Consider the following 20,833-nt stretch of genomic DNA (forward strand, 5'->3'; position numbering starts at 1 on the left):
AACATAAAATTCACCCATTTAAAATATGCAACTCAACGGTTTTTACTATATTCACAAGGTTGTGTAAAACCGTCACAATTTTAGAACATTTTCATCACCCCAAAAAGAAACCCCATACCCATTAGCAGTCACTCCCTATTTCCCTCCAACCTCCCCAGCCCCAATCAACCACTAATCTATTTTCTATCTATATGGATTTGTCTATTCTTAACATCCATATAAATTCTTGACATATCATATATGTTATGGTCTTTTGTGACTGCTTCTTTCACTTAGCATATAAATATATATAATTTGTTTTAGACAGGATCTTGCTCTGACATCCAGGATTATAGCTCACTGCAGCCTCCAACTCCTGGGCTCAAGTGATTCTCCCATCTCAGCCTCTTGAGCAGCTGGGACTACAGGTGCATGCCACCATGTCCAGCTGATTTTTAAATTTTTTGTAGAGACCAGTTCTTACTATGTTGCCCAGGCTGGTCTTGAACTCCTGGCTTCAAGCTATCCTCCCAAAGGACTGAGATTATAGTTGTGAGTTGCTGCTCTCAGCCAACATACTTTCAAGGTTCATCCATGTCGTAGCATGAATCGGAACTTCATTCATTTTTATTGCCAAGTAATATTCCATTCTATGGAATATTCATTACATTCTATAGAACATTTCCATTTGTCATCGGACACTCAGGCTGTTTCCACTCCTGAGCTACTACGAATACTACTACTAAGCATTCATATACCAGTTTTTGTGTGAACGTTAAGTTTCCAATTATCTTGGGTATATACGTAAGGATATATATAAGGAGGTCCCCAAAGGCCTGTCAGAGGCCCTTTCAGCTTTGCCCATTGGATGAGGTTTCCCAGGACGGGAGGAGGAGGACACTCCTCCTGTCACCCCTCCCTTTGCCAGCAGCTGAGGTCTCCTCCTGCCCAATCCCACCCAATCTCCTTTCTCAGATGAGGACCCAGCATCCTAGTTTCCAGGACTAGTCGACAGGAAACACGCGAACTGCTAGGAGGGCAGATGGACAGGGTCTCACCCCCAAAGATCAAATGGTCTAGGAGCATTTCACACACACAAGAATTTGAATGAACTGAAAACTTCCTGTTTCATTAGATTAAAAACCTGTACTTTGCTCAGCCAATAACTGGGACACAGTATCAAGAGATTTTCATGCCATTTCTGGGTGTGGAAGATGGCCTGGGAAATGAAGTTGAAACCCCCAAATTCAGGAAGTTACTTGGGGGCAGCAGCAGCCCTCCCAGAGGTGACTGGCCAAGGCCACTAAAACCTTGCTCTCTACTCTGGGCAGCCTCTCTGAACTTCTGGGAGGAGCTCTTCAGATCTAGCTTAGCTCAGGCTCCAGAGATACAGGTGCCCCTCAATCTCGGGGGGCCTTAGGAACTAATCAATGCAAAAACAGGATCTGAGGCTGGAGCAACAGGAAGAAAAGATACCCCAGAACAGTGGTCAGTGCTGTGGGAAAGCACGCTGGGCTGGAGAAAGGCCACAGGGCAGACTCCCCTCTGAAGGGCCTGGGAACCCGAGGCCCTCCTTCTCTACAGGCCTGCCCTGCCCACCCCTGCATGTGTTCTTCCCACTACCTTAGCCCTCTTGGGTGTTTCCCTAGGAAAGTTAATATGGGTGACAAAGTTATGAGACCTTAGTGGCCTCAACCAGTGTAGTTACATAATACCCACACAGGCACACTTCTGCGTTCCTGGGAAACAAGGACATGTGAGGTGAAACTGCCTGTGAGTCCACTGTTACTAGGCCACTGGGAACACCCACTTGTGCACAAGCAACACAGGGGCCTTCCCTTTGGCGGGGGTGACTCAGCCCCTACCTGTGGAGGGAAATATGACCAAACCCACCAGACCCCAACTCTCACAAGCCAGGTCACCTCGAGCAAGGGCAGAGAAATACCTGGGGGAACCCAGCTGAGTCTCAAAATATTTGTAAGTTTTGTCTGCTTACAGACTCCAGTGCTGGGCAAAAACCATTTGATGGAAGGGAGGTCTGCCCGTTCTGATGTAACCATGGCCACTACACCAAGTGACTCTTCGTAAAACTTGAAGCTACGTTATCCTCAAATGGTGCTGAGATATGACAGTAAGGGGTGTGAGTGGAACACTTTCTGAAAGGCCTGTCTCCCTGGCAACAGACCTGCACACTGATTGCTGCTGTGGAAACTGACACCCCAGCCTCATCACCCAGTGTCTCCCTGGAGACTGAGCTACACCAAGCTCTGGTACCTACATCTCCAATCTGGCAGCCCCCTGCCCTGCCTCTTTACAGCCCCTTCTCACACCAACAGGAAGGACTTGGAAAGATAGACTCTATAGATAGATTTTTAAACTTACAAAAATAAGAGACGCCCCACAAAAAACTCCAAATCACCAATACATTTATTTGCGGGAGATGAGGTCAAATCTTACCATGAACTTTAAAACTGGGTAGGACTAGAGACACTGATCTGCCCAACCTCTGGGTATTCACAACTGCACAGGTAACCAGATCCTGTACGCGAGGCATCACCATTAAACAGATGAGCATTAGATGAGGAGGACACATTCTGAGTAGTTGCATGATTTCCCATTCAGAGGCAGGTGCTGCCCTCATATCAGAAAAGTAGTGTTGAGAAAAACACAGGCAGAGCCTGGCCATTTGCCTCCTAGCATAGGCCTAGACATGATGGTGGCCACGTGCCAGGGGACCACACCCTATGTACAAAGCAGGAGAATGATGCTCCCAGCTGAGCTGCAGGATGGGCGCTGGGCTGACTGGAGGGGTAGACGGGGTGGGGTCTGACCCCATTAGCCTTTCCCCATCCAACCTGGGCCCCCATAAGCCATTCTCTGGCCCTCTGCACAAGACAGACTCAGCAAATCTGCGAGGTATGGGGATTCTGCCAACTCCCCACCTCGCCTCACCTTCCCTAGGTCTGCCGGGTGACCCAATCCACTGGGTGCAGCCCCACCCCCGCTCAACCCCACATCTGGACAGACACATGGCAAATATGGAACTGAAGCCCGGCTGGGCTGGAGCACATCTGGTTGTTGTTGGGTTGGAGTCGTCTTGCAGGTGTCCCAAGGTGGTCAGGCCTCACCCACGGTGGCCAGGTTGAGACCGTGTTTTTTAGATGATTCAGGTTACTCCAGGGCAAAGCATGATCCTGATGACACCCGGCGGAAAAGCAGGCTGGAGCCTCGGAAGAGCTGGCCCTGGACCAGAAGGAAAAGTAAGGTGAGTGAAAGGGAGGCCACGCTTCCTTGTCCCTCCGAGAGGAAGGCCAGTGTCAGGCAAAGAAGGGTCCAGGAGCTCAAAGACCCAGCTCCGGGGTGGACGGCCTCGGCCTACATCCCTGGAGGGCAGAATCTGCCTGTGTTGAAGCAGAAGGGAGCGGTTCATTTCCTGCCCAGGGGTGTCTTTGGGGCTACTCTGTAGGAGAGCCCTAGAGAGGAGGCTCATTGCCCCTCTTGCTTCAGAGCCCAAGTGGTCTAGGACTCTTTCAGTGCTCATAGGGAGGACGAGACACACTCACGCTGACCAGGGCCACTGGGAAGAACTGCGGCTCTCCTCCCTGCTTCCCTCCCATCTGTCCTCTTCTCAGCCTCGAGGCCACTCAGAGTTCTGGCTCCCTCCGGGCCACTGCCCCATTTCACTGCGAGGCAAATCAAGGCCAGGAAAAGGCAAGGTTCTGCCCTCGGCCAAAGCCTGGACCCCTGACTGCTGGGCCCAAGAGCTCCAGCTACGGAGAGGTAGCTTCGGTACAGAACACGAGAACCCAAGGTTGGTACTGCTGCCAGTTCCCCACGTGGCCCAGCCCCACCCACAGGCTCTCCTGGGCCCAGGAATGTCCTGCAGGAGGGAGGAGTCGGTTTCCAATGCCAGCCGCCCTAACAACCCAGGAACTCAGCTCAACTGGTTACAGACCTCGAATTTTCAGCCCATGTTACTTGAAGGAGAAGCAGTTCTTGGGCTTTACCACCTGCCACCTGGGCCAGAGTTCTCTTATCCTTATCCTAAGAGTCTTTAAGACTCAAAGAAGAAAAGGTCTTGTCTGATGTATAATCTTAAAATAAACCCACACTTAGCCACCTCAAATCCTTTCTGAAATTATGTAAGATGAAAACTTAAATGCCTTATAGATACCAAGTATCTCCTCACAATATTGAATTCCATGAAACCACTTATCTTTGCATGCAATGAAGCATCCACAAAACCATTTCAGCTGAAGGATGTAGCAAAGAACAGGAAAGGCCTCCGCCGTCCAGTGCTTGCTCACCTGCACACTCAGGTACTTCCAGCAGTGAATCCAGGATTTGAACACTGGGGAGTAAGGGGGGAGCCCAGCTTGCAGCCTGCCGGAGAAGGAGAGTGTAGATGCAGAGAACAGTGGAAGACAGCCAGCCACGGGAAAGCCACTTCAAGAAGGAATGCCTTCAGGCTACCACCCATCCACACCCTGACCCCTGACACCACAGTTTACCCCAGGGGGTGCTGGGAAATCCCAGCGGAAGCCAGGGTGCCTGGCAGGCCAAGCCTACACACAGAGCAGGTGGGAGGGGGCAGAGTGCTGGAAGGGCTCGGTGGGTCTCCCCCACCCCACAGCCTTGGTAGGTAGAGTGGCAAGTAGAGGGGCGCACACCTACCCGCAGTTGTTCACAGCCATGAGGTCGCCAACTAGCAGGAAGGGGTAGGTCAGCATGCTCACTGCAATCTGAAACCCAGAGAGGCCTGAGTGCCAGTGACCCACCCCGGCCCAGGGAGCAGGGACACACCACGCCAACACCCTGTACCAAGACCTGCCTCCAGCCATTACCAGGGTTGGCCTCCTAGGCCCCGCTTGGGTCCGCAAGGCAGTGGGAAGGAAGGACAGCTGGCACAACTTACCCCCATCACGAACTTGGTATAGCTCCGGATGGCCAGGGCCTGGCTGAACTGAGGAGACAGAAGGGAAGAGTGGTTTGCCACAGGCACCTCAGGATGCAGACTTCAGCAACACATGCCCTCACCCCACCCTCTGTGCTGAGCTCCTCACAAGCACGCTGCACATGCCTTTCCTGTCAGCCCTCACAGTCACTGCCCAGAGAAGGCCTGGGGGGCAGAAACGGGGTAAGTGGACTGAAGGGAGTCCCGAGAAGGAGACCCGGTAAGAGGGATCAGCTGCCGCTGCCTGTGCAACCCACCGGACTGTGAGCCTCAAGGGCTGAGCCCGTGTCTGCCTGATCAACATCCAGGGCTTGGCACGCAGTCAGTGCTAAGACAGACATGCACCCTGAAACCCAAAGACGAATCCTGGCCTGTGGGGTGAGGTGAGGGCAAGTCCAGGCTTATCGCCACCTCCACCTCAGCAAGCTTTTCCCCCTTCAGACCCCAACTCCTCAAATCCTGCTTTGCTGAAGCAAACAGCTCCTAGTGAGGAAAGGTGACTCCCCCACCCTCAGCTTCCTGTGGAGCGGCCATCCCACCAGATCGATGGCCTGGGTTCTTGGTCAGAGATTTGCTCAGATGTCTGCTTGAGTGGCTTTGACAGCCCGGCAGCCTCACCTCGGCCTTTAAGCCACATACAGAAAAGCACTCGAAAAACACTTTAGACAAATCTGTTGACTGCTGTTGTTGCTGATGTAAGCACGGCAGCCTCTGGTCAGACAGCTGCCCACCTAGATGAGAAACCACTTAGCGGTGCACTCCTGGCCACCCTTGCTCTGTATGTGACAGCAGCAGCTTACCCACCCACAAGGCCCCCCGAGAAGGGGCAGAACTGCAGGAATGTACCACTGTGATTGCAGATGGGGTGGGTCTCTATGGAGCCACTTTAATTTGCTTACATCGAAAGGCCAGTGAAGACTCACCTGCCCAGGTCAAGTGGCCAGTCTCCCTGCAAGCAGAGGCTCCCATCTGGGATGGGGCACTCCTCACCACACAGAACAGACATGTACCACACACACACACATGCTGAACATGACCCCCTTCCCACCCAGGTGATTCTGGCAGACACGTCCCCAGGCCCTCCTAGCCTCCTGGGAGGGAAAGCCACTTCAAGAAGGAATGCCATCCTTCTTGAAGGTGATCCCCACTGTGAGAATGTCTGGACACTGCAATTCCCAGCCATCGCTGCTCCCTACCTCTTATCTTGGTTCAGGCAGAACCAGTCAACCCCTCAGGTACCTGGATGGCCTTCCTCAACAAGTGCTGTGTAGAAGGACCAGGCCTTCCTATGCCTGACCCGACCTGCTGAAAGGTCTATGTATACTAGGCTGTGTAGACCACAGCTAACAAAATAGGAGGGTGTATCGGACTGTACACTTCCTAGCAGATCTGAAAAAACTCAGAGGAATGCACCCTTGGCCTGGCCAGGGATCTAATTCCAGCCCTGTCAGTTCCAGCTGAGTGACTCTGGAGAGCCCAGAGCCTCTCCAGAATTTGTGATCTCTGGGTCTCGATTTCTGTATTGGTAAACGAACATTATACCTGCCCTGTTCCCTTCACAACTAGGATGCCGTCAGATCAAAGGCCATAACGTTCACAAAAGGGTTTTAAAAAGCAAAAGACGTGACACAAAGGTCAAGAGGTGATCACTATTAGCTGGTCTATCTTCTGACTTCCTGAGCCCTAGTTGGGTCACTGCCTCGGAGCAGCCTTAGATAAGCTGGGGTCTGTTTCTAAGGCGCCCAGGGACAAGCATTCCATTAATTCCTCCCAGGTCTGGGTACTAATCTGGAATCTCGCCTCTTGAGGCCGTTCTCCCCTTAGACAAAGATGACTCCAGGGATAATGAGAGGTCCTCTCTCACCCTCCCGGCCTGATGCTGAGAATCCCAGAATCCTTGAGTTTGTCCCAGACCCTGGGCATCAGCAGCACACGGAAAGAAGGACAAGTCCTTGTTCCAACCAACCTGGGAACCTGGATTCTGGTCGTTTCCCAGCCCCCCTGGGGTGTCACTCACGCTGTCATCCACCAGGTAGGCATTGATGAAGTGGGCCAGCAGGTTACAGCCCCACAAGAAAACCACATCGCCCAGGAGGTGAGGGATTAATCCACTAAAAAACAAGGTAAGCAGAGATGAGCAGGAGAGGGAGAGGAGCAGTTCCTGGGGGCTCCACACCCAGGAAGCAGGCAGGGATGTTCCGAGCTCAAAATCTTAGCATATCCAATGGCACAGCCTTAGAAAGGAGGCCTGCAGGGTCCAGCAGCTATGCACACTGGGAAGATAGTGCTCCTTTTCCCATGGGGAGGTGTTCTATGCCGCTTTGGATGCCATAAATTAGCTAATAGTCTCAAGCAGTTTTCAAACCACAGAAGCCAGGGATCAAGATGTGAATACTGCCAAATTTGGAATTTCCAAATGCAGATAATAAGAGTGCCGACGTGTTGGTAATTTTCTCCTGGCCTCTTTACCTAACCAACTCTCAGAAGACACACTGCTCAATGCATCTGTTCTCTTTGCCCCTGAAAATATTCTATCAAAAAGATTCTATGCAAGCATTTACAAGGAGGGCTAACTTTTTAAGTGATGGCCTTTAGGATAAACAGCTCTATAAACTGCTAAGGAAGGTTCCCCAAGATGCAGTGCTGAGGGCAAAAGGCCAGTTTGAGGTCAGTGAGTCCCATGTGCCTCTTGTGTTTTTTACAATGTGTTTGCTTGTTTAGGTACAGAGTGCCCTGGGAGGCTCGCCAGGAGAAGGATGGCTGTCTCCTGGGAGGAGAAGCAGAATTTTTGTTTTTGAATTAAAAAAAAAAATCTTATATTTGAAAAACTCAAAAGAATATATGTAATACATCTATGAAGAGTATTAATAAAAGGAACCTCTGTGAATGCAATTTCTAATCTTGTCGTCCCTGCCTGTGCTCAGATTGACTTTGTGCTATACCCTTTGGTGCTTTCTATGCACTGTAACATGTATGAGTATCACCTGTTCCAAAATCACATGGGGAGAAAGAACCCAAAGAGTAGGCATCTGTTGTGCGGGAATCCTATTCAAACACCAGAAGAGAACTACGCAGTGTGAAAAATGCCAGAGGTGGTCATGTGCAGTGTTTCAAGATGGGTGGCTGTTTCTGTAGAGCAGCCATTGGCTGGGGTCCCGGGGCTGCCCCTTTGGCAGGGCACATGGTCCCTGAGGGCCACAGATGCCCTGCACTTTGTCACCTCACATCCAACTTACTTCACCTCTAAAGAAAGCACATACTGAAAAGACTATGTTCAGAAAGAATAAAGCACAGACAGAACCCAGAAGCCAGGCTTGATGAGTTGTTTTTTGACTTGCTGTTTTAAGGTCTAGGCGGTGACATACATGCTGATAGGTATGTCACAAATGTTGGTTTGTTACCAGGTACATGTGCAAATATATGTATGTATAAATACTTACACATACATATATGTGTGTGTGTGAATATAAATCAGAGTTTCTCAACCTTGGCACTATTGACATTTTGGGCTGAATAATTTTTTTTTTCCCCAAGAGACAGGGTCTCACTCTATCACCCAGGCTGGAGTGCAGTGGTGCAATCATAGCTCACTGCAGTCTCCAACTCCTGGGCTCAAGCCATCCTCCCACCTCAGCCTCCCGGGTAGCTAGGACTACAGGTGCATGCCGCCACGGCCAACTAATTTTTAAAAACATTTTTGTAGAGACAGAAGTCTCACTATGTTGCTCAGGCTGGTCTTGAACTCCTGGCCTCAAGTAATCCTCCCGCCTTGGTCTCCTGACAGCTGCAGAAACCACTGAGACTAATCCCAACTAACTGGGATCACAGATGCAAGCAACGACACCTGACTGAATAAGTCTTTGTTGCGGGGCTGTCCTGTGTACTGTAGGATGTTTAGCAGCGTCTCTGGCCTCTACCCACTAGATGCCAGTTGTGACAACCACAAGATGTCTCCGGACACTGCCGATGTTCCCCGGGGAGCAAAATCACCTCCTGCTGAGAACCGTATATATATTTCTATATCATATACACACACATGCACCTACAAGTAGTCACTAATTGGTTAAACAAGGGGCCATAAATAAAAAACATCTCACAAACCGGAAAACCATGATATAAAGACTTCTTATGAATAATATGGAGCCCTGTATCTAGTACAGCGGATACTGTTGTATACCATGTGTCTACCACGTTTGTGACATACTTATCAGCATGTATGTCACTGCCTAGACCTTAAAACGGCAAATCAAAATACAACTCATCAAGCCTGGCTTCTGTCTGCACCTTATTCTTTCTGAACTTAGTCTTTTCAGTATGTGCTTTCTTTAGAGGTGAAGTACACTGGATGTGACGTGACGAAGTACAGGGTGTCTGCGGCCCTCGGAGACCATGTGCCCTGCCAAAGAAGCAGGTCCTGGGTCCTGGCCGATGGATGCTCTACAGAAAGAACCGCTCAGCAGGACAAGATTTTCTGGCTTTTCAAGAGATGCCAGACATGTGGATTTTTGTGCAACATATCTTAAATGTTAACGGCAACAACTAATTTGTCAGAAAAGCAATGTCAAACAGAATCCACTGGCTGTGGTCAGCCTGTGAGCTTCCAGAGCTCCACCCTCAGTCCAAGTCAGATTTTCAGTCATGTTTTAGCAGTGAGGCCAAGGACTATGCAGTGACTTAGCTCATGAAGACCAGCCCCACACCCACCACAACTGGATGAGGCCCAGTGGGGCTGGTCAGTTCATCTCCCCCATGTACTAGACACACAGTTCCACTTTTACATGAGCCATGGCCTGAAAAGGGCTAAGCAGCTTGGACACGCTATGGAGCTCTGGAGAGCTGGCTGCAGCACTCAGGCTAGGGCAGGGCCATGTAGTGAAGTCCCAGGCCAGCAGCTGCGGTCTGAGAGGTTGAGGACACACCTGTTAGCAGAGCCATGCCCGTGGCCAGTTATGGGGTGTATAAACTCACGTACACGAAGAATCCCAGCAGCCCTTCCTCTTTGAAAATCTTCCCAATGGAGCTCAGCACACCACTGTGAAGAAGGCAAGACAGAGATACAGGGTCATGCAGTCACCTACCAGAAGCCCACCCGTTGGTGTGGGGCTGAGCCCACCAGTTCTGCTCAAATCCAGCCAGTCCTGGCAGGGATGGGGAGGACTATTACCATGAAGAACCAAGTAGAAAGGCAAAGAGCGCTTGTTCAGGGTGAGGAGGAGTTTACACAGTTCATGGAGACTGGGGAAGCCCAACCACCCATGGGAGCAGCCCACTAGCAGTCCTCTACTGGTGTTTTCTGGGAGATAGGAGTTTAGGAATGCATCTCCTAACTTGGGCCACTGCTGCAGAGGCGGCAGGCCCTTCTCTTACCCGGCCCTCACACTTATCTCTGGTTAAACAACCCTCTAGCAGAGGAGCCCACAGGCCCGCCCAAGAGTAAGAGTAGGAGGGGGTAGTAAGCAAAGAGAAGTACTTTCCCAGAGGGCAGAGAAAGAATACAGGGCCCTGCAGGAGGAGGCACTGGAACCAGCCTAGGAGAAGACATCTGGCACTCCTCAGCAGGGAGCCGGGGACTCATGCCCTGGCCACTGCACCCTGTTAGAGATGAGAGGACAAGCTGGATGAGAGGACAGGCTGTGGGTTCTTGGGTGTGAAATGCCAAGGAAGCTCAATAACAACCTACTAACAGAGGGAGCCAGTGGAAGGCAAAGCCCTGGGTAGCCCCGGTCCCAGATCATCCCAGCCCTGCCAGGCCCGGCCCCACCACTCAGAACAGTGGTGGCCAGATTATACCCTTCTGGTCCCAACTACCAACCTCATAATCAGTCTAGGGGAATGGGCCAATTTCCCATTAATGACCCCAAAATGAGGCACCATGGCAGCTGAGCTTCCTGGGATGGTGGCCCCGCAGGACAGCTGCAAAAAACACCGACCCCAGGAAATGAGAATCTTAAGAGAGGAAGGGCAACCCAGGTGTGTCCTTCACACATGCCTCCAAGACCCACCTCCGTGTCAACACATATGCCCCTGGCACCTACCCAGGGCTGCACGCAGCAGATCTAGGTGAGGGTCTGGTACACAATGGAAGGGATGAGCCCCAAGCCCATGGGGTGGATGGCTTCTTCATAGGGGATAAAAAGAGCTATCAGCCTATGAGGGCCGGAAAAATCGTTAGAGCATTACTTCGGGAGTCCAAAAGGAGACCCCAGCTCAGTCCTAAGTGGCAGAATCAGCTCTGGGGCCAGAAATCCTAATCCAAGCTGACTACAATCCCACTCACCCCTCTGCAAAGGCATCTAGGCTCATCTAGGGCTGCCCTTGATAAGAGATGACGAAGAGAAAATGACCCTGGACAGACTATTGAAGCCACTGCCACATTCCTCAGAAGCCAGGCAGCAGGCTGAACTCACACAGCACTAGGGCAGAAAAGGTGCAGCAACCAATCCCAGCACGGCCTGCCCTGGCCGACTCTGAAAGGGTAACAGGGCCACTCTGCCAGTCCCAAGAGTTACCCACCTGTACTTGGCCTCCCGTCCCACAAACTGGACCATGCAGCGCATTGAGATGACTGAGGAAAAAAAAGAAAACACACACAGGTGATGTGGTGGGCCACACTTCATAATGCTCCAGCCACCGGGTGCCAGGTGCAGAGTGGCCACTGAACAACGTGGCCTATTCAGAGAGCAGGAGAGGAAGAGGGCCTTTCGGATTCCCTGTTACACCCCATGACCACAGCATGCCATTTCTACTGCCTGGGAAGAGCCCCACCTCCCTTTGGAAAGAATTCCAATCTCTCCTCAGTGAGGTGGGTTCCAGTAGAATACCCCCAACCCCACTACCACTTCCCAACAGGTCTACGGCTGTCTATGTACAGTCCACGAGGGGGCGCCCCTCACCCCACGCCCCCGACGCCAGCTTAGATACAGTCTCGGGGGAAGGGGGGTGGCTTACCATGCAGGGGGTGGGCCAACATGCGGGACACACACTGCATCATCATCTCGTAGGAGGTCTGGAAGAGAGCATGGGGTGGGGACTCGCCACCCTCGGCCTGTCTCTGGAACTGGCCCTCGAGGGGAGCTACAAGTGCTCAGGAGGGAGAAACCTGTCCCAGGGACTGCACATGGGGTCGGTCTGCCAAGGATGGCTCCACCTGTTGCCCACTCCCCAGTCCCCCACCCAGGAGTGCTGTCGGGTCCCAGGCTAGGCCCAACAATGGCTGAGAAGGCTTTCCGGGGTTCCCGGCACATCCAGGCCAGGGCTTCTTCCCTTACCATCCCACCCATGCATACACAAGGACCCAACTCTTCGACTTGTCAATGACCCGCCCAACTTGGGGGTGAGAAATCATCAGGCTCCCCTCCACGCACCTCTCCCTCTCCAACTCTCAACACCCACCTCCTTCACAACTTTCTTCAGGGAAGTCTTCATATCATCCTTGTTGGAAACCTGCTCAATCTCATCTGGAGGGAAAACCTGAAACAGAGAAGGGAAAGAACCAAGTTCAGCTACGCCTCTTCCATGGAACTCTTCGGGGACTTGGGCGGCAGGAACCAGCTCCAAATATTTCCTCTGCAGTGTCTATTGGCTGGGCCCACCTCAGGTAACCTCCAGGTCTGGAGCTTGGGGGGAAAAGAAAGCCACTATCTGGTGTCACAGCTGTGGGAAAGCAGAACTGTGGGGTGGGAGCTCCCCCATGGGGCTGGAGTGAAGCCCCCAATGGTCTGGGAAGGAGGAGGCAAGACCAGGGTAACTGGCTGCTGCAGGGGTGGCTGGGAGTATGAGGAAACCTCGGGCGACTGTTCCTGGCTTTGTGTGGGCTCACCTTCTTCATGCTACCCCGAGTCACAGTAGAGAGGGCGTTGGACATCAGCCGGGGACTCAGGCCTCGGAACAGCCCTATCTTACCATCCACTTGCACGATGTACTTGGCTGTAAGAAAACAGAGGTGGCAGAGGAGTCACACCCAGTTCAGGGGCACCCACTCCTGGGTCACACACACCCAGACCAGGCTCGGCTTGTCCTTCAGGTAACTGCTGACTACAGGCACAGAAGGTAACATCTGTCCAGGACCTGGAAGCAGTCAGGCCCTAACCCCCAAATGTCTTCTAGCCCATTTCTTTTAGTAAAAGCCTCAAAATGTATTTCTGACAAACAAGTTCATATATTTTCTTCCTTCCTTCCCTCCCTCCCTCCTTTTTTTTTTTTTTTTTTTTTTTGCTTTAAAAACTTTACTTGGCAAACTCAGCCATGATTTCTCAACTCAGCAACTTAAATGCTGCAACACAGAAAACAATTCTGTTACTTAAAAATTACATTTTTCTTGAGGAAAAGAAAATAGGAAAAACAGAGAAACTGCCCGCAGGGAATGATGAAGTCTTCAACCTAAAGGAGGGAAAAAGGAAAAGAAAGGGCTCCCAGAAGACAGGCTCAAGAACGCCCCCTGCACATGCCACGGCCAGGGCAGTCTCCACCCTGTCACTGTGCTACACCCAGGATACCACCTGGCACCAGATGGCATTGATTAGTCAAGGGAAAAACAAGTCTATGGAGAAGTAACTAAAACAGGAGCACCAATGAACAATTCCATAGAATAAACTTAAATGTTATGGAAGCTAGACCCTACCTGTGTGAGTTAGTGTTTCTTTCACTAGGGTCTGTCTTTCTAAGGATACGATTCATTGTTTTCTATCAACATTTTAAACATGTTTTAAATGGCAGGGTGGTATTTTTATAAACCTGTGCATCTGGAAGCTAGCAGAACATTCTCTCAGACAGCATGCTCCCCCTGTTAGACCATGACTTTAGCTCTCTGGCACCGCGCAGAGGCAGGAAGAAGCAAATATGCCTTTTGCTCCTCCGCAGATGTCTGCCAGCCCAGCAATTCAATGTCACAGCTAGCATGGGTTTTTCATGAGGCTGAGAACACCTGTTACCTGTATATGTGATTGCCTGAGATGAGGGTGGGCTGGAAGGAGAGGAGGAGGAGGGGAGGGGATGCTGGGTGACTTGGCAAGGAGCCCTCTTCACAGAGTGAACAGGCAAAAGGAAAATTTGCTTTGGGGGAGGGTGGATCCTAGTGAGGAGAGGGAGCCTCAGGACCTCTGTTTGTGATCCTGAGCAAAACATCGACCCTCTTCCATCTGCCCACCTGTAAAAAAAGAAGGAATAAGGACCGTCATTTCTCTCCATTTCTGAGAGAACTGAGGAACAAGTGAGAGCGGAGGGAGGCGTGCTGAAATGCCTGCAGGGGCCTCTGTGGGTCCCAGGGCCTCCCTCATTCTGGGTCTTTCTGCAGTGCCAGGAAACCCTCTGGGAAGTTCTTTCTTCTACACCAGAGAATGTCATGACAGCTGCAGTACTTTCAGCCATGACAAGTAGAGGAGCAGACACTGTCCACACTGTACCAGAGAGCCAAATGGCGGGTCCCCTCTCTGACTCCAGAGTAGGCCTGGTGTCCAGAGATCCCCAACAGACATCTGCTCACACCTAGATTAAAGCTACATTTATATAAACCAGGCTGGGGGCACACCTGAGAACTCTGCTCATCCTCAAAAGAGACAGTTAAGATGGGGGTCAAGTTCCCTCTGCTCTAAGTCCTTTTGGGAATGGCTGTGTCACATGAATAGAGATGATCTGGGCTCTAACCTCGCCTCTCAGAACACAGCACGTGCAACCAGATCCAGAAAAAGCCCCGTGCAGGGCCGCAGCCATCTGCCCCGGCTGCCTTACCTCTCTGTATACTGCCTCACTACACAATGGTGGGGTGCCTTCCTACTTCTGTCATTCCCCTCTCCACTACGCTGACAATTTTTAAGTAAAAAACAACACAAACACATTTCCTCACAAGATGACACATTCCACCTGGCCCTAGACTCTGCACTCAACAACACAGGGACAAAACTGGAAGAGAAATATGACACCCAATTCTGCCAACAGCATGTGAAATGGAAAAGGTAAGACAGAGGCCAAGCCCCAAGTTACTCAACAGAAAGATAGATTCTGGAGAATATTCTAGACAACCAAACAGGTAAGAGCAGAGGTGCAGGAAACTGGAGGGGATTTGCCTGCAATGGAACTCCAGCTGTGAACACGGAGAAAAAGGGCACATTTAAAGAAGGCCTTCATCATGGTCATCTGGTGAGGGTAGGGACTGGGAGAGGGACAGTGAGGGTGAACATGAAAAGGCCCTGGCCAGACGGCACCTGTGGGCCAGGTGATGGGCAGCAGAGGCAGCAAGGTGGGCTTCTTGATGACAGTTGGGGAGCTTGCAGGAAGGCCTGGGCAGGAGAAGCTGACCTTACTTTGCAGACAAGGGGTGCAGCCAGGCCACAGCAGGTAAGTGGCCCACCCAAACTCACGCAGCACACAGAAGTGAAGCTGCAATTCACTGCACACCATTCTGTAACCAACAGATGGAGACACCAGAGTGAGTGAGCACCACTCACTGCCTGAGGAATGCAGGGGAAACAAGACACCCAGGTGGGATAAAAGAAAAAAACTCAAGAGGACCCCCCGGGCCTCCTGCTGGAGTAGCAGGGCCAGGCTGCTCACAGGACAAAAGGAAATCACCCCCACGCATGTTCCAGGCACAACCCGGGGCAGCAGAAATAATAGGGACCAGTGTCCTAGATTGGCTCCTCTCTCAGGCACCTGTGTCTGTCCCCTCCTGCTGTCTGGGCTGGCAGCTGGCAGCTACAGGCAGAGGAGCTGGACCAAAGCTGTATGGTTCACCTGCTCGCACCCCGACACCATGTCCTCTCTGTACACGCTTAGATCCCCTCCTCCATGCCAGCTCGACTGCGTGCCATGCTGCGCAGTGAGTTCCCCGGGGCCAGCTGGTCCTGCTCCCCACCTGAGGCCTCTTTTCTGTTGGTGTGGGCTTTCCTGCTTGGGAGGCACACTCACCGTAGGTGAAGAAGCTCGGCAGATAGAGGACCTTCCTCCCCAGCACATTGGTCCCAAGGGTGGGGGGCATCGGCTCATGACCCACCTTCAGAATTAACAAAGACAAAGGGACGCTCAGAGTCTCGTGGTGATTCAGCCTCACCACCTCTCCTCACACCTCTTGCCCCCTTTGCTTAACTCTTCTCCCACAAATTCTAATGTGGCTCTTGTTCATGTTTTCCCCATCAAAGCATACCAGAAAGCTCGTCAGTGTCTCTAACCATTGGCAGCACGTAAACTCCCAATCAACAGAAATGCCTGGTCCCAGACACTGTCCAACCACAATCCAAGTCACACCCACACCCCAACATTCTTACATTCAAATCCCAAATATTCCCAGTAGAGAAACCTCCATTTGTATGTACTGCAAACCCTACTCCCATCTCAGAACAAATCTCAGTTATTCTCATCTCCAGATGAAAAACTTCATTCCAACCTCAATTCCAAATGTGGCAATAAGAAAATACATCATACCCAAACCTCAGACAGGTCAGCCATTAAGTCATCTATTCCAAAGTGCACCCCAAACTCAAATTTCTTACCAAATCTACTGCAGACACCTCCATGTCTATTCCTCCCATTCCCAGGCTTAGCAAACTGTTACCTCAAATTCCAGCTACTCCTCAAACATATCCTTAGCTGCGTTCTCACCTCAATCACCCTACATCCCTGTGACAAAACGACCCCCTCATTTCTGTAGGGCTATGATAGTTCTTGCTGTACAGATGCTTCTTATATCTGAAATATTTATTTATTTATTTTTTTTTTTGAGATGGAGTTTCACTCTTGTTGCCCAGGATGGAGTGCAATGGCGTGCTCTCAGCTCACCGCAACCTCCACCTCCTCCACCTCCCGGGTTCAAGTGATTCTCCTACCCCAGCCTCCCAAGTAGCTGGGAATACAAGCACCCGCCACCATACCCGGCAAATTTTTTGTATTTTTAGTAGAGACGGGGTTTCTCCATGTTGGTCAGGCTGGTCTCGAACTCCCGACCTCAGGTGATCCACCCGCCTCGGCCTCCCAAAGTGCTGGGATTACAGGCATGAGCCACTGCGCCCAGCCTGAAATATTTATTAAACCCGCGGGTGGGTGAAGGACCATCCATATCCATGTGAGGAGCAGGAAGTCTCTGTCGAGGGGTGAGAGCCCCTGCTGCCAGGGAGGAGGCAAGGTGTCAAGGAGACCAGCACCTAGGTGGGGAGTGAGAAGGCTCCTTCCTCCCTTGGCAAGGGGCCAGGATACCAGCCCTGTGCCCTCTAAGCAGGCCAGCTGGGCCCATGGACCAGAGCGATTCCTCTGACATGTGGGAGAGGATTTGGCCTGCAGCTGTGGGAGGCAGTAGAAGTGGCAAGTTAGAAAGCGCTACCTTGTAAACTGGATTAGGTATGCTTCCAGTGCTTTTTGGGATCAACCCTGTCCCCTTTTGCCTTTATCAAGCAAGTGCTTTTCAAAGTTCAGGCTATCTCCTATGGATCTGATTCTGAGATGCCTAACAGATTAATGATTGTAAATTTAAAAACTCCTCTATGATGGGGACTGTCTTTAAAAGAAAAAAATTTTGACCCAGTGGAGCAAAGGAGGAAAGGGGTGAGTCAGCTGACCCAGGCAGTGAGTACTTCCCTTCTAGACCTTTTCCCTTCTGGGTTAAAAGCTCCAAGGTTGTTCTGAATTAAGTTTTGTCTTGATCTGTGTTCTCTTAAATACAGGTGGTATTCCTTTATTCCTCCACTCCAAATCGCCACAACTGCTCTTTTGCTGTCCTTATCCAGTTTAGTCAACACTATTTGGGAGTCCCACTGACCCCAATTTCATACTTAAATTTGTAACGTTATCCCATATCCCCATGGCTCCCAAATCTGTTGAATCTATTTTCTTAACTTCTATTGGGTTATCATAGGCACACTGGCTGTATCTCACCCCCATTCCTCCTGCCTTCAAGTTTTAATTATTTGTTCCCAAGTCATTAAACCCAATTTCAACCTCAAATCTGTTAACCCAGTCCTAACTACGGCAAATGCTGTGGCCCTATATCAGATACCAGCAGGGACAGTCTGTCATCTTAAAATCTCCGACTCCCAAACCTGACAGCCACATGCACTAATCTAAGGCACTGCATTCTTACGCACCTAATCTAGACAATCCCCAAATCTGTCACTCCACTCCTGACACCCCCACTCCCAGTAATTTGCCTTTCTGCAAGTTATTACTCTGATTCCCAAACTATACCCATTGAAGATCTTACCCTAATATATGTTACACTCAACACCAGCTGGGTTCAAATCAGACAGGCACCTCTGGTCCTTCAACAGGGCTCATCCATCCTTACCTGCCCACCATCTAGTTCTTCTCACGCTTTGGTGTCCTTCATTCCCCCATTCCCTTCCCAAACCACCCTCATTTCAATGTTCTTTCAAACCAGATCTGCCATCATCCAAATGATGAAGCCACTTCTTCATTTCCCTCACACTGAGCCCTTGTGCTCCAGTATCCTTCACTCCACAGACTCTCCCACCTGTGCCCTAAAATCCTAGCCCTCACTCAGTCTCATTCCATCAGTTTCCAGAACCCTCACTTCTCAGGTCCAAAGCACCAATTTATCTCCCAAACTTCAAGTTCAACTGCTGTAAATACAATCTTAACCCTGTAAGACAGCCCTCATTCCCAAATCACAACCAAATGCCAGTCTGGTCTACACCTTCCGCCATCAACAATTTTCAAATCTGTCACAATTAGGGTCTAGTCAGGCACCTTGATGCCCCTGACTGAATCTCCTCATTCCTTGTCATATTCCTGGTCACACCCACAAATCTATTACCATTCCTCGGATCCCAGATTTCAATTACTCTCATTCTCAAGGCCTTCTCATTCCAGTTGTATTTTGCATTCTCTCGGTTCAATTATAAAGATGGTAAAATCTGACACCCACCTGCCTCAACTCAAATCTTGGATGGGTCTCCAATTCAATTTTTACCTTCCTCCCCCCAAGCTTCTTAACTGGAAAATTCTGGCCTAATGACCCCCATCAAAACTGTACCCATCCCAGCCACACCCACCTAATTCTCACACCTCCACACGCCCTTCATTCCAGCTCACTCCTCAAGCAGCACACTTCATCTGTACCGCATTGCTGGCCACCACCAAATCTGCCAAGTGCCTATGCATCCCTCTGTTCCAGAGACATCCCTACCTCGGTCTCAATTTCTGGTAGTCCCTACCTATCCTGCCACCTATGTCTCCACTGTCCCTTCTGCCCAATTTCAATACTCCCGTGCCCCTTCTCCTCATCTGCCCAGATACAAGCACTGTGATTCCTCTCTCTGACCCCAACTATGACTTCCATTTCCTCCTCCAAATGCGTCATCCCCCTTCCCCGCTTAAAGCCTCCTCCTAGCTCCCCTCTCTAGACAAATCGCTGCCACTCCCCTCCCCCAATGCTGGCCCTATCTGTTCCCCTCCCCCCATACGCGTCACCCTGTCCCCTCCTCCTACCAAATCCGTCGTCGCCATCAAATCCAGAGCCCCCATCTCCGGTAAACCGATAGCATTCCCCTGCAAAAGTCTTTGCCTTCGCACTCTCCCACCAAATTAAATCACAATGCAACCCAAGACCTCCGTCTCCTCTGTCCACCCCCAGTCTGGTGTCCTTCTTTCCCTCCTAAATTTCTGGCCCTGGCGCCCACTTTGTCCCCACCCCAAGACGTTTTAAATCCATCTCTATCAAATCCAGAGCCTCCGTTCCCCTCTACCCCAATTATGTGCTCCTCATTCTCTAAACACTTTGCCTGGGCCCCCAACCTTCCTCCCCATCTCTTCACCCAAACTTCTTGCCCCTCCCCCAATTCTATTGCTTCTTCCCTCGCCCCAAATTCGCTCCCTTCCCTATCCCAAGTCCATCGTCCCCACTCCTTTATCTCCCAAATATGTTTTTCCAGCCCATCGCTCCCTCCTTGGCACTCCCCCAAATCGCTTGTTCCTTCCACCCTCTCCCGTATCTGTTATTACTCTAACCCCTTGGTCTCCTTTCTGTATCCTAAAACCCGTGACCCCTGCGTTCCCAACTCCCTCACGGCTTCCCTCCCATCCCACCCACTCGGCCCCCCAAACCCGCCGTCCCCACCCCTCTCCCCAAATCCGTCGCCATTGACTGCCCGCCCCAATCCTCCAAATCCTGGCCTGTCACCTTCACATCAGCCTCCCATCTCCCTACGGCGCCTCTGGTCCCCCACCTGGATGAGCAGCTTCACGTAGAGCAGGGGATGGCTGAGCGCCGTCACGCCCGCGCCCAGTGCCACGAAAAGAGCCTCAGTGGTCGGGGCGTTGTCCCCAGACCCCAGGCCCCCTGACCCGCCATCCATCCTGCGGGCCGAGGGCTGAGCCGCAGGCCGAGGGTGGCGAGGATGTGCGCGGTGCGCGGGCGGTGGATCGCGAGCTCGAGCCTCGACCCCCGCCGCCGCTCCGCCGCGAGCTCCGGCTCCAGCTCCGGCTCCCGCCATCCCCGCGGCACCGCCGCGAGCCCAGGGCGCCACTTCCGGGTCCGAAGCTCCCATGGCGCCCGGCGGCGAGGTCACTCCCCGTCACGTGACGGGGCCACGCCCCCTCACCGGCGTCAGGGGGCGGGGCCGGGGCGCACCACTCCAGGCCGCGGGGGAGCTCGGGAGCGTGGTGCGGCGGGTGGGACACGCCGGATGTGGCTCCCCGGCCGGTTGGAGGCCTAGCAGGACACTGGGCTGCGGGCCGGGGGTCAATGGTGGCGGGCAGCCGGGGCCCCGGGCTCGGGAGCTGTGGCGGCAGCCGCAGGCCGGGGCGCTCCCCCGGGATGCCCAGAGCACGCGGGGGCGGGGTTCGGCGCCTCTGGCTGCCAGACGTCCCCAATATGGTCTGAGGCGCTTCCAAGCCACCTCCCTGGCTTCGGGAGTTTTCTCTGCAGTTCTCTGCCCGCCCCTTTGCGGCCCAGATCCC

The 20,833-nt window shown here is 51.9% G+C and overlaps 1 protein-coding gene across 5 annotated transcripts, besides 4 other annotated features; it reads right to left on the reverse strand.

Annotated features, from left to right (window-relative positions):
• Positions 1–2,382: 2,382 nt before the first annotated feature.
• MTCH1 (mitochondrial carrier 1) lies at positions 2,383–20,799 on the reverse strand. 5 transcript variants are annotated; one of them, NM_014341.2, is made up of 12 exons: positions 20,101–20,799; positions 15,836–15,920; positions 12,753–12,859; positions 12,326–12,403; positions 11,882–11,939; positions 11,447–11,498; positions 9,906–9,965; positions 6,951–7,044; positions 4,895–4,942; positions 4,654–4,721; positions 4,287–4,362; positions 2,383–3,222 (listed from the first exon to the last, which is right to left on the reverse strand). In NM_014341.2, the coding sequence occupies exons 1-12, from the start codon at positions 20,419–20,421 to the stop codon at positions 3,151–3,153; spliced, it is 1,119 nt and encodes a 372-aa protein (NP_055156.1). In that variant the 5' UTR covers positions 20,422–20,799; the 3' UTR covers positions 2,383–3,150. The 5 variants fall into 5 exon arrangements, 4 of the variants coding, with proteins under 4 accessions (NP_055156.1, NP_001258570.1, NP_001397828.1 ...); NR_130739.2 differs by having other exon boundaries at positions 2,389–3,222; positions 11,882–12,032; positions 20,101–20,444; NM_001271641.2 differs by having other exon boundaries at positions 2,389–3,222; positions 6,900–7,044; positions 20,101–20,444.
• Positions 14,976–15,576: an enhancer, noted in NCBI's record as "H3K4me1 hESC enhancer chr6:36948504-36949104 (GRCh37/hg19 assembly coordinates)". NCBI's record gives its function as "activates a minimal SCP1, AML or CMV promoter by ChIP-STARR-seq in primed H9 embryonic stem cells {active_cell/tissue: H9 hESC(primed)}" and the evidence as "EXISTENCE:reporter gene assay evidence [ECO:0000049][PMID:30033119]".
• Positions 19,998–20,720: an enhancer, noted in NCBI's record as "H3K27ac hESC enhancer chr6:36953526-36954248 (GRCh37/hg19 assembly coordinates)". NCBI's record gives its function as "activates a minimal SCP1, AML or CMV promoter by ChIP-STARR-seq in primed H9 embryonic stem cells {active_cell/tissue: H9 hESC(primed)}" and the evidence as "EXISTENCE:reporter gene assay evidence [ECO:0000049][PMID:30033119]".
• Positions 19,998–20,748: a biological region, named in NCBI's record as "H3K27ac hESC enhancer GRCh37_chr6:36953526-36954248".
• Positions 20,159–20,748: a silencer, noted in NCBI's record as "silent region_17123". NCBI's record gives its function as "represses an Ori minimal core promoter by ATAC-STARR-seq in GM12878 lymphoblastoid cells {active_cell/tissue: GM12878}" and the evidence as "EXISTENCE:reporter gene assay evidence [ECO:0000049][PMID:35858748]".

Source organism: Homo sapiens, chromosome 6 (assembly GCF_000001405.40).
Source record: "Homo sapiens chromosome 6, GRCh38.p14 Primary Assembly".
NCBI lineage: Eukaryota > Metazoa > Chordata > Mammalia > Primates > Hominidae > Homo > Homo sapiens.

Excerpts from the sequence above, each read along its gene's own strand:
- MTCH1 (NM_001410897.1), bottom strand. The coding sequence starts at position 20,421 with ATGGGAGCTTCGGACCCGGAAGTGGCGCCCTGGGCTCGCGGCGGTGCC. Across the intron at positions 15,921-20,100 it reads ACGTGAAGCTGCTCATCCAG|GTGGGTCATGAGCCGATGCC; the intron begins GTGGGGGACCAG and ends TTAATTCTGAAG. Across the intron at positions 11,499-11,881 it reads GTTGGCCCACCCCCTGCATG|TCATCTCAATGCGCTGCATG; the intron begins GTAAGCCACCCC and ends TTTTTTCCTCAG.